This window comes from Homo sapiens, chromosome 3, assembly GCF_000001405.40.
Source record: "Homo sapiens chromosome 3, GRCh38.p14 Primary Assembly".
NCBI classification, from domain to species: Eukaryota; Metazoa; Chordata; class Mammalia; order Primates; family Hominidae; genus Homo; species Homo sapiens.
Window position 1 is genome coordinate 187,507,877 of NC_000003.12, and position 13,117 is coordinate 187,520,993.

A 13,117-nucleotide genomic window follows, 5' to 3' on the forward strand; every position below is an offset into this window, starting at 1 on the left:
GCCTTTCAACATAACTGAAGGCTTTTATGAGTAAGATAGGGATACGGGAAATGGGACCCCCTGATGACCAAAGTTGTTTGCATCCCTTGGACTCTAGATTTCATCGGTCCTGATTAAATTTCTGGATGCTATCAAGGAGGTCTGCATGACCTAAGGATCGTTGTTCTTGTAAAGAAAAACAAGTTCATCAATCTTGTGGGCAGCGCAAGGAGTCAGAATATGAAGTTAATCAATGACCAGTGACTACCCTCTACCAATGTGACTACGTGCAAGCAATCATGCATGGAGGAAGAAGAGGGCAAGGAAAAAGGAAAATAAGTAAAACAAACATCTTATGACCTTTATAATAAAAGCTCAGTTGCATTAACTTACACATATCAGTTATCACAATCAATGAGAGTGAAATAAACTCCAGTTAGAAGACAGGAATATTCAGAGTGGATTTAAAAGCAAACTTACAAACTTAGCTATATGGTGTTTACAAAAGACATAACTAAAACACAAAGGCATAAAGACATTAAAATAAGCAGATGGAAAAATAAATTCTAGGGAAATGTCAAAACGGTAGACTTTATATTAAAAGTATTGCCAGAGATAAAGAGGTTTCTTAAATATTTTGAAAACTACAGATCTCCACAAAGATAATTCTGACCTTTTAAGCATTGAAAAACATGTATTCAACATCCAGCAACAGGAAAGTACTTGTTTTTGATCTCACATAGAATCTTGCAGAAAATTGGCCTCATGTTAGACCAGAGAGGTCTCAATACAATTCTCATGAGTTTTTGGGTTACATTCTCTGATCACAGTGCAAATAAGTTTGACATCTATATTAAGAAAGTGGATTTTTGGAAGCAGAAATTCTTCTAACAACATGTGTAAGGGCTAAGAGAAAATGTCCCCTTCACCCTAAGATTCACTGAAAAATCAGCTGAAAAGAGGCAGATTAATAGAAGTGTAAACCAAACATCTTTGGAGAAATATTTCAACCTTTAAAGGAGAAACGGTGGATATTGGGAAGGAGGAAGAAATTTTTAAAGGTATGGGTAGGTAAGAGACAAATGGTTGTGTTCTTTTGAGTCTTTGATCAGGCTTTTATTGAATACACAATTTTCCTGTGAGTGGGGGTAGAGGAATAGTCACTTCCGCCTTAGTCTGGCTCAGTGAATCTGCTTTTTTACATCATAGGAATCAATCAGATGCCCTTTTGTCTCAGGTGAGCAGAGAGATGACTTAGAGTTCTGTCTTTTGTCCCACACCTGTGAAGATAAGCTATCAATTTACATTGTCAGGGTAAAATTCAACAGAACCATTTTAGGGTAAAGATTTGAGGCCCACAAGGAATTTTCTAGTGGGCAAATTGTGACGGAGGTATGTAGCTTTTTACAATCTTTACACCTATCTTATTTAGGAATGGGAGGCATAATGGGAGGTTTGCCCCACACAATTCCCAGCTCCACTTTTCCCTTTGACTTAGTGATTTTGGGGTGCTGAGACTTATTTTCCTTTCACAGGATAAATGGCATACAAATTTATTAACATGCAAAGAGGGGAAATCAGTGATTATCCCAGTCTCCCAGTGGGGTACAGAAGCTTATAAACCATCTTGAGGCTACAGATAGAATGGGGACTCAGTGCATGGCCAAAAACAGGTTATGGTGGAAAATCAGGTTATGGTTTGGCAGTACAGGTTATGAGAGAGAAAGACAGAGACAGAGAGAAAGAGAGAGAGAGAGAGGTGAGAGAGAGGCTTGGCTAGCAAAGGTGGTCTTCTTACGGAGATAGAACCTTGCAGGTAGCAGCGATGGTAAGCGTTTCTTTCAGAATTTTAAAGGTTTCAGACTCTAAATTAATTTTTTTTTACCTGGACAAGGGAGGGCTCCAAAGAAAGCCCAGCTGCATCAGTGCAGATTGTCTACAGGTGCAAATCTCCACCACAGAAGACAGCTTTGCAGGGCTACTGCTGTTTGCTGGCCCTCTGAAGGGTCATCTCAAAATATGTCAAAGAAGTATGTTTGGGGGTGAAATATTTTTATTTCATCCACACATGTATTTCAAATCTTTATTTTAGGTTTTGCTGATTGGCAATTTTGATAAATTTATATCTCATCATTTTCTGGAACACTCTGCTTTATGTTTTATTTTCTTGAACCAAAATATTTGGTTGAAGCGTCAGTGTTTCATAAATTGATTCTCAAGTGCCATATAGCATGCGTATGTGCACACTCACTCTTTGGTTGTTTGATAGAATTCAATTTTAAAAAGAAGCTAAATTCAAAAAATCGGTTTTTAGTGTTAGCCTGGGCATAAAGGACTCTGTCAATAATTAAAATCCATTTTTAAAAAGCCTCAACCAAAAAAAAACTTTTATGTAATTATGTTTTAAGTATCAGTAGTGTATTGATTATGGTAATTTAAAAAACCTATGGTTATTAATCATTATGACAGAGTTATTTTGCTTTTTAAAAAAACTTTATTGACTTAACAGGAAGAGGCTGAGATACAAAATATAATTTAAAGAGTTTCACTTTGGGAGGCCGAGGAGGGCAGATCACAAGGTCAGGAGTTCAAAACCAGCCTGGCCAACATGGTGAAACCCCGGCTCTACTAAAAATACAAAACTTAGCTGGGCATGGTGGCACATGCCTGTAATTCCAGCTACTTAGGAGGCTGAGGCAGAAGAATTGCTTGAACGGACACCTGGGAGGTGAAGGTTACAGTGAACCAAGATCGCACCACTGCACTCCAGCTCCAGCCTGGGCTACAGAGTGAGACTCCATATCAAAAAAAAAAAAAAAAAAAAAAAAAGTTAAAGAGTGTACTTGAGCCAAAATAAGGACAGCTGCCCTGACGACTCAGATCTAAATAACCTTGGATGTGAAGAATGTTTTGCCTTTGTAACAAGTGGGTTTTAAAAGGGAAAAATGGAGTGGGTTGATACAAAGTTATTTGTCAGGAATTCTCATTGGTTTACAGAAATAACAATGATTAGTGATCGGCTATATACATTGTTAAGCTACAAGGTTATAGTGGATTAGTGTCTGTGTGGCATTATTAGGTTAATTTATATTCATGGCAATAGCAAGCAGTCAAGAGATGAATATGTAGCTCAAGTGGGAGGCAGGATGTGATTGTTTTAATGACTCTCTGGGCCTGATCATTTAAAAGCTTTGCATTCCTTGGATAAAATTTCTTTTCTTTTCTCAGTTTGGGCTTGGGATATCCCAAGATGGTTCAGATGATCTCAAAGGACATAAATGTAACTTAATTTTAAGTAATTTTCATAGAAATTATAATATATAGAATTAATTTAGAAAAGATAGGATTCATAAGTCTGGTTATAATAAAAATGTAATTATTAAAAACTCCATTAAGGCAGACACCAAGCCTTTTTTTTTTTTTTTTACCACTTTCATAGTAACCAGCACATAGTAGATATTCAACAATTTTTTTTTGAATGAAAATAAAGATAATGTGAATGCAGGTTGATAACTGAATGGTTAAAAAGCCAGAAATAAAAAGCCTGCATCTAATGTGAAGAAAAAGGCACTCATAGTCATCATTTTATTTCACTCCATCAACCTCTATTGAGTGCGTACTATGTGCCAAAAATTGTTCTAGATGTTGTGTGATATATTTGTGAATAACAGGCTTGATTCTTAGCAGCGTAGACCTTACTGTCTGTTTAGGGGGATACAACTTGGAAATAGAAGGTTGATCAGGAGTATCCAAGCTCCTAAACAGTGTGATAAGGAATGGGGAACTCAGCTCATCTTTTTCTGTAGACATTTTAAAATGGAGCTTTGATTTTACCAAAAATTTGACCACTTATGATCATTCTTTAATATTCACAGTTGACACAATATCCATCATCCTATTTGAAGCAGAAAGACCAAGTATTATCATTAATTTACAAACAAGAAAAATGAAGTCCACAGTGGGTAAATTATACAATTAGAACACAGGTTTCCTGAATCCAAGTTATTGGAGATAAAGGAGATTTAGCCTTCTTTTTATTGGGTTTTGGTGTTCATTTTTAGCAAATACTTGAATAAAAAGAATAATCACAATCTCCTTTTTGGTCATGTTCAAAATATCAAACTATGTGTTTTTAGCAAATACTAGTTCTGGGTGAACGTTCGAAATTTTCACTTTTTGTTTAAGCATTCGTTATTAGCTCTAGAGATACAATCAGAAGGTCCTCAGTTATAGGAGCAGGAGTCCTTGGAAACAACGCTGGTTGGACATTATATTAGTCGACTGCAAACATCGTGAAGCTAAACTTTTTATTATTTATCTCATGTTCCTAGTGTCCTGCACTTAGTCCTCACAGATGAAAACGGGGTCAGCAATAAGAGCTGTCAGTCCTCCATGCCTTTCTGACTGCCACTCCCTTAGCCCAAGCCCTTGTGACCTTGCAGCTTAAATTATTTTCCAAAAGCAATTCTGTCATTCTTTGGCTCAGAAACTTAGTTCAGACTGCTATAGCAAAACCACCATAGACTGGGTGACTTGAACAGCAAACATTTATTTCTCAGGTTTGAAGCCTGGGAAGTCCAATATCAAGGTGCTGGCAGATCTGGTGTCTGGTGAGGGCACTCTTCCTAGTTTGTAGATAGCCATCTCTCATTGTATCCTCAGGTGGCAGAGGGCAGAGAGGGAAAGAGGAGGCACTCATGTGTCTTCTTATGAGGGCACTAATCCAATTCAAGAGGGCCCCACACTCATTATCTAATTTCTTCCCAAAGGCCCCACCTCTTAATATCACAACACTAGAGGTTAGGATTTCAACATGTGAATTTTGAAGGGACATGTATTAGGGTTCTCTAGAGGAACAGAACTAATGGGGGAGGTTCCAAGATGGCCGAATAGGAACAGCTCCAGTCTACAGCTCCCAGGGTGAGCAATGCAGAAGACAGGTGATTTCTGTATTTCCAACTGAGGTACCAGATTCATCTCACTGGGGCTTGTTGGACAGTGGATGCAGCACACTGAGCAGGGCTGGGCGTCACCTCACCTGGGAAGTGCAAGGGGTTGGGGGAATTCCCTTTCCTAGCCAAGGGAAACCATGACAGATTGTACCTGGAAAATAGGGACACTCCCACCCTAATACTGTGCTTTTCCAATGGGCTTAGCAAATGGCACACCAGGAGATTATATCCTGCGCCTGGCTCAGAGGGTCCCACACCCACAGATCCTCACTCACTGCTAGCACAGCAGTCTGAGATCGAACTGCAAGGCAGCAGCGAGGCTGGGGGAGGGGCGTCCGCCATTGCTGAGGCTTGAGTAGGTAAACAAAGTGGCTGGGAAGCTTGAACTGGGTGGAGCCCACTGCAGCTCAAGGAGGCCTGACTGCCTGCCTCTGTAGACTCCCCCTCTGGGGGCAGGGCATAGCCAAACAAAAGGCAGCAGAAACTCCTGCAGACTTAAATGTCCCTGTCTGACAGCTTTGAAAAGAGTAGTGGTTCTCCCAGCATGGAGTTTGAGAGCTGAGAACGGACAGACTGCCTCCTCAAGTGGGTCCGTGACCCCTGAGTAGCCTAACTGGGAGACACCTCCCAGTAGGGGCCGACTGACACCTCATACAGCCGGGTGCCCCTCTGAGAGGAAGCTTCCAAAGGAAGGATCAGGCAGCAACATCTGCCATTCTGCAATATTTCCTGTTCTGCAGCCTCCGCTGGTGATACCCAGGCAAACAGGGTCTGGAGTGGACCTCTAGCAAACTCCAACAGACCTGCAGCTGAGGGTCCTGACTGTTAGAAGGAAAACTAACAAACCGAAAGGACATCCACACCAAAACCCCATCTGTATGTCACCATCATCAAAAACCAAAGGTAGATAAAAACACAAAGATGGGGAGAAACCAGAGCAGAAAAGTTGAAAATTCTAAAAATCAGAGCACCTCTTCTCCTCCAAAGGAACACAGCTCCTTGCCAGCAATGGAACAAAGCTGGATGGAGAATGACTTTGATGAGTTGAGAGAAGAAGGCTTCAGATGATCAGTAATAACAAACTTCTCCGAGCTCAAGGAGGATGTTCGAACCCATCGCAAAGAAGCTAAAAACCTAGAAAAAAGATTAGACGAATGGCTAACTAGAATAAGCAGTGTAGGGAAGTCCTTAAATGACCTGACGGAGCTGAAAACCATGGCACGAGAACTACGTGACACATGCACAAGCTGCAGTAGCTGATTTGATCAAGTGGAAGAAAGGGTATCAGTGATTGAAGATCAAATGAATGAAATGAAGCGAGAAGAGAAGTTTAGAGAAAAAAGAGTAAAAAGAAACGAACAAAGCCTCCAAGAAATATGGGACTATGTGAAAAGACCAAATCTATGTCTGATTGGTGTACCTGAAAGTGACGGGGAGAATGGAACCCAGCTGGAAAACACTCTTCAGGATATTATCCAGGAGAACTTCCCCAACCTAGCAAGGCAGGCCAACATTCAAATTCAGGAAATACAGAGAACACCACAAAGATACTCCTTGAGAAGAGCAACTCCAAGACACATAATTGTCAGATTCACCAAAGTTGAAATGAAGGAAAAAATATTAAGGGCAGCCAGAGAGAAAGGTCGGGTTACCCACAAAGGGAAGCCCATCAGACTAACAGTGGATCTCTTGGCAGAAACTCTACAAGCCAGAAGAGAGTGGGGGCCAATATTCAACACTCTTAAAGAAAAGAATTTTCAAGCCAGGATTTCATATCCAGCCAAATTAAGCTTCATAAGTGTAGGAGAAATAAAATCCTTTACAGACAAACAAATGCTGAGAGATTTTGTCACTACCAGGCCTGCCTTACAAGAGCTCCTGAAGGAAGCACTAGACATGGAAAGCAAAAACCAGTACCAGCCAGTGCAAAAACATGCCAAATTGTAAAGACCATCTATGCTAGGAAGAAACTGCATCAACTAATGAGCAAAATAACCAGCTAACATCATAATGACAGGATCAAATTCACACATAACAATATTAACCTTAAATGTAAATGGGCTAAATGTTCCAATTAAAAGAGGAGCAGAACTAACTGTATATATAGAGAGGAACTATAAATAGGGGAGTTTATTAAGTATTAACTTGCATGATCACAACGTCCCACAATAGGCTGTCTGCAAGCTGAGGAATAAGGAGAGCCAGTCCGAGTTCCAAAACTAAAGAACTTGGAGTCTGATGTTTGAGGGCAGGAAGCATCCAGCATGGGAGAAAGATGTAGGCTGGGAGGCTAAGACAGTCTCTCTTTTTCACGTTTTTCTGCCTGCTCTATATTCGCTGGCAGCTGATTAGATTGTGCTCACCAGATTAAGGGTGGATCTGCCTACCCCAGCCCACTGACTCAAATGTTCATGTCTTTTGGCAACAGCCTCACAAACACACCCAGGATCAATACTTTGTATTCTTCAATCCAGTTGAGTGGGCACTCAGTACTAAACATCACAGGACGCAAGCATATAGTCTAAAACAGGAGCCTTAGGAGACTCTCGTACCTACTAAACATTGACCGAATGCTTCAGTCTACCATTCAATGCTTTTTATAACCCTTTAGCAGTTCACTATGTTCTGCTCATCTCTCTTTCCCTCATTCAATGCCTCTCCTGGTGTCATTAACATCCTGGTCTCCAACCACATTCACTGTTATCACAAGATACTTGGTTTTTGTACAGTCCCATGTCTTTGCTCAAGCAGTTTCTTCTCTCTGGAACACTCTCCCCTGCCATTATATGTTGTTGAAATTTAACATATTCTTAACAATCTCAGCTAAAATCCAAACTGTCTTTGGATCCTCGACTTATAATGAATTTCCTTTCCTCATGCCCCAACCACAAGCCCCTAGTTTGCATTGCCTCCATAAGACTTACCCCACTCTACTTTGCACCAGCATTACTGGGCTATATATCAAGAGTTTAGAGATGGCTTGCATGCAGGGCCAATGTCTCATCTATGTCCACACTAGTTCAGTTTCTTGTCACACAGTAGATGTTTTATAAATGTTTCCTGAATTCCCAGAATTAATAAATTATGCCACTTAAGGTAACCAGAAACACCAGTGCCCACCTCTATATAGCTAAATTGACCCTGATAAAGTGTCCTCCACTGAAAAATGAATGCATTGACACAGAGAAGTGACATCATTGTGACAATCACAAAGCAAGTGACAATGTAACATGTACCTGACATCTATTTTTAAAAATGAAGAAGACTCAGAAATTTGAGGCAGGCACTGGAAATTAAAACTGGCTGTTCAATATTACTAGAATGATCCCACTGTGCCACTGTCATTAGTACTAATACCCACTAGTGATCCCACTATACCACTGTCATTAGTACTAATACCACTGTCACTGTGGTGGTATTACCACTGTCATTAGTACCCGGTGACTAATTGGCACAGCCAGGGAGTAAAAGTTTTTTCACTTCTGTACTTGTTTTTCTTCATTTTGCAGGGTTAATTTGTGTCTAGCTCTCCTAAACTTTTATCTTGCTGGCTTTCAGGCTTCCAAATTCAAAAAAAATATTGAATTGCTCCTGACATCTAGCTGGCTTGATCTGGAATGCATGCATAATTTAAGCTGATTGAATATTTTGCCACATTAGAGTGGAAAATATCTATATCCCCAAAGCAGTAAAAGAAACTGACAAGTTCAAATACCACTTGGCATCACCTTCCATGATTTTCACCAGGTAACTAAGGCCATCTAGGAGGCTGAAATCAAAGTTTGCCTTTAGCTACGGGATTCACTCCTGAGTACCCAAGGCCGAGAAAGAGAAGACTCTGTCTTTAGCTGATGCAAGGTTTCCTTCCTTGGATGCAAGATAAAATAAACACATTCCTTAGATTATTTTGCTTTTTTCTTTTTAAAATATGCTTTTTGAATTGATTTCCATTTTAACCAAAGAAAATGAATTTGGAAAGTGCTTTCACTCATAGGATTTACTTAAATTGTAAGTATATAAAAAAAGGACAGTCTTAAAACCCTCAAAATTTGTTAGAAATGAACAACTAATGAGACAGTCAAGTCACTCAGGGTGATAGACGTCCTTGGCTTCCCCTCCTCACTCCAGCCTCCTGTGACTCTGTGTCACCCGCATCCCCATATGGCATGGAACGTGCTCCCTCTCCCTTCACGTGGGTCACGTTGTGCACATGGCATGAATCCTGAGAGTATGAAGAGGTGGCGCCTTTCAGAGTCACAATCATAGCAATGCAACTGTAGAACTGACAGAGTGAAGGAGCCAATCTACCAGAAGTGATGCAGTAAACTAGAAAATGAGGACACAGAGGCAGATGAGCCCCCAGCACTGCCTGGAGGAAGAGAGGCAGAGGATGGGAGATACCAGTACTCTGGGTTGTTCCTGTGGTAAGGTAGGGACATTTCCTCAGGCCTCATTTAGCCAGAGCATAATTCTTAGGGCTCTCAATTTCTTTGTTTTCTTTCCATGCTCATCAATAACAATTCTGATCTTACTTCTGAGATACCTTGATACTAGAAAATGAGGGTAGAAGAATGGGTATTCTGGCCCCTGGGAAGAGATAGCTTCAATAAAAAATATGGGTCAGCTGTTTTATTCAGCAAATTTGTTGAACACTTACCAAGTGTCATGGACTCGCTAAGGGCTGGGGATTCAGCAGGAAAATAAGACAAAGAGCATCCTTTCATGGAGTGTATATTCTCTAAGAAGGAGATGGACAGTAACATATGAACAAGTAAACAAAATTAGTTTAAATAATGATGACCTCTTTAGAAAAAGTTTTATGGGCAGGTTCACAGAAAGTGAGTGGATGGGGAAGGGTAACTGTAGATGGAGTCTTCTGGAAAGGCTTCCTGGAGATGGTGATATTTGAGTTGAGACCTGAATGACAAGAAGGAGGCAACCATGTGAAGAACCAAATTCTAGACAAAAGGATTATCAAGAGCCAAGGCCTAGAGGCAGGAATGAGTGGACAGTCAGGAAGAAAAAGAAGGCCTGTGTGCTTGGACCACAGTGAGTATACGGGTGAGCAGTATGAGGTGAGGTTGGAGAAATCCAAATCAGAGAGCCTCTATGGATGCCAAGAAAATAGTTTGGGGACCTGAGAAATGGGGGACCAACCAGACCTCGAGATAAATTGGATTAAGATGGATGTTTCCCTTAAGAATTTCCTTCAGTAGCAAGTGCTAGGCAATAATCCTCATTCATCATATCTCTTCTCCCAAGAAAACCCTTCTGTTCTCTGGACTGCCATGACAATTGTCCTAACACACTCTGTTAGTTAATGCCCAGGAGTTTTGCACATACTGTTCTTTTGCTCAGAATATCGTTCCTCAGATGTCTGCCTGAAGAAGTCTTAAGTTCACCCTTCCAAATTCAAATAAAATATCTCCTCTCTCCTGTAAATATCCTAATCAAAGGATGGTCCTACAGAAGTCTGTGTACCTCTATTATAACATCTTTCAAATTGTGTTGTGTTTGTCTCTCTCTATCCTTAGACTATGAGTCTCACGGAAGGTAGAATACATTCTTATTCATCTTTGCATCCTCTATGCCTAACAAAGCAGGAGCTCAAGAAATGCTAGGAAGGAAGGAAGGAAGGGAGGGAGGGACGGAGGGAGAGAGGGAGGGAGAAAGGGAAGGATTCAACTTCAAAATGTATGAGTAGTTCATCTCAAAGATATTTGTAGTTAAAAAAAAAGAGGGAAATAAATGCATCAGAAAGGATATTTTTGTAACTAAAAAAAGTGATATTCATCTGAGAAATTATTATTCTGCCTTCCTAAGACCACCAAGGAATATAAAATCCCTCCCACACTTCTTTACAGAGGTATTTGCATGTGAGTCAGTTCCCGTCAATCCCAAATTACATAGATCTGTACAGTAGCAATTAGGTTTATAAACTGCTGGAGGGGAAGAGTGACAGCTGTTAAACTGTGGCGGAAACAAAAAACCTCTGCGCAAGGATTAAACTGACTAGTTACAGAGAGACTGACAATCTGCAAGGCACTTCCAGGAAGCAATCTTTCTGATGCAAATTATCAGAGGATGCAGAAATGAAATAGGAAGCCCATCTAACTATCATGTTTCACTTTTGTGATGAGGGTGGCAACAGAAGTGGGCAAAGGGCAGAGGACATCTAGCCCAGTCTGCAAGAGTTCTGGGAGTCTAGGCAGATACTGGATGATAGTCATATTGACTATCTCAGCCATCTCTCAAATTTGGCAGAAAATTTAAAACTATTCAGGAGCTTAAAAAAACAAACAAACAGTAGTGCCTGGACTCCACCCCATGCCACTTAAATAAGAATTTCCAAAGATGGGGATATAGAACCAAAAGTTTTCACAAGCTCCCCAGGTGAACCCGGGCAACACGGCAAAACTCTATCTCTCCAAAAGGTACAAAAATTAGCCGGGTGTGTTGGTGCGCCTGTAGTCCTAGCTACTTGGGAGGCTGAGGTGGGAAGATTGCTTGAGCCTAGGAAGTTGAGTCTGTAGTGAGCTGAGATCATGCCACTGCACTCCAGCCTGGGTGACAGAGTATGGCCTTGTCTCAAAAAACCAACCAAACAACCAACCAAACAAATGCCTCCCCAAGTGAAGTGATTCTATCAGATGCAAATGATTAAAATTCCTTTACTCAGCACTATTCATAAAGCCTTTCCACGTAACGTCGACTTATTTAATATGGCCTATAAAGAGAGGTAAAACCGAGGCTCCCGGATAGGAAGGAAACTCGCCCGAGGCCATGCAGCTAGTGGTAAGATTCAAGAGTGTGCCTGCAGACTTCAGGTTCGTGGTGTATTCAGGAAGGCAGGCTAGTTCAGGAAACTCCTGGGGACTATGTCTTGCAGACAAATTTGTCTATGGTGATTCTGGTCTCCCTTTTATGCTCTTTCTTCCTGATTAACATTCCTCTTTTCTCCATAGCTTTCCCTCCTACGTGCCTTGCATTCCTGGGTGCCTATTCTTGCTCCCATTCCTGCTGGGATGATCTATCTGATTGGTGACTAACCACTCAGTGGGAATTCATTTTGTGGGCAGCCTTCCTATGGAAAAATGTTCTCTTTAAAAGAACATTGGCAAAGGAGACTAAATGCCAACAATTGGTGAATTTGGGTAAAGAGTGTATGGGAGTTTCTTGCATTATTGCTGAAACTTTTCTTAATTTTGACGTATCAAAATAAAGAGTTATAAGAGGAAGAAGGAGGAAGAGGAGAGAGAGGAGGAGGAGAAGGAGAAGGAAGGGAAAGGGGAAAAAATACTGGCAGTATTTAGTGTAGATTAAATAGCCTTGGACAATGAACGCATGGCCTAAAGCCATGGAGGCCTGAATCTGTTCCAGACTCAACCTCCACCCTGCTATTCTGAGACCCTGGGAAGGCCGCCCTCTATTCTGGATTTGATTGTCCTGGTGGTAAAATGAGGGGACTAGTGTAGATCATCCTTGTTCTGTGTATTTTTTGCTGCATGAAACCATTCCAAAATTTAGTTGCTTAAAACAGAAATTTCTTATTACTTCTCATGGTTCTCTGCACTGATAGGCTCAGCCTGGAGAGTCTCACATGAAGTTCTCTGGAGTTATAGTCAGAGAGAAGCTGGGTTTGGTATCACCTAGCCAAATGGGGTGGACATCCAAGACAGTTCACTCACACAGCTGGCAGATGATCCTGGCCATTGGCTGGGAGCCCACATGGAATTGCTGACCCAGATTACCCATGCTTTAGCTGTCTTACAGACACAACGATGCTTGCCTCAATTAGGACTTTTTTTTTTAAGGATATGAGTCTTTTGTAAACTAGATGTCTACACTCCCATGAATGTTGTCATTGCTGTTGTTTATATTATTCTGACCACTGGCAGTTACCACCTTGTTAACTGCTATCTGGTGGGTTGTCTAGATGCTTCTCGTGGCCACTCCCCTCTGTTAGAGTCTTTTCCTTTCCGCCCTCCACCCGCAGGGCAGCTGCCTAGAAATCTGAGTGTAGGCAATAAGGGATAACTGCTTAGAAAACATTATGTGGCGTTTGCACATATAAAAACTGGTTGTTTTCAAACACCAGTCACTGTCATACGGCTACGTAGGTGTACCACATTCACAAACACATCCTCCCTCACGTTCTTTTGCTTAAAAGATGATTGGTGGGGGCC

The 13,117-nt window shown here is 41.1% G+C and overlaps 1 annotated feature.

The window, feature by feature from the left end:
* Positions 11,339-12,083: an enhancer, noted in NCBI's record as "OCT4-NANOG-H3K27ac hESC enhancer chr3:187237003-187237747 (GRCh37/hg19 assembly coordinates)". NCBI's record gives its function as "activates a minimal SCP1, AML or CMV promoter by ChIP-STARR-seq in primed H9 embryonic stem cells {active_cell/tissue: H9 hESC(primed)}" and the evidence as "EXISTENCE:reporter gene assay evidence [ECO:0000049][PMID:30033119]".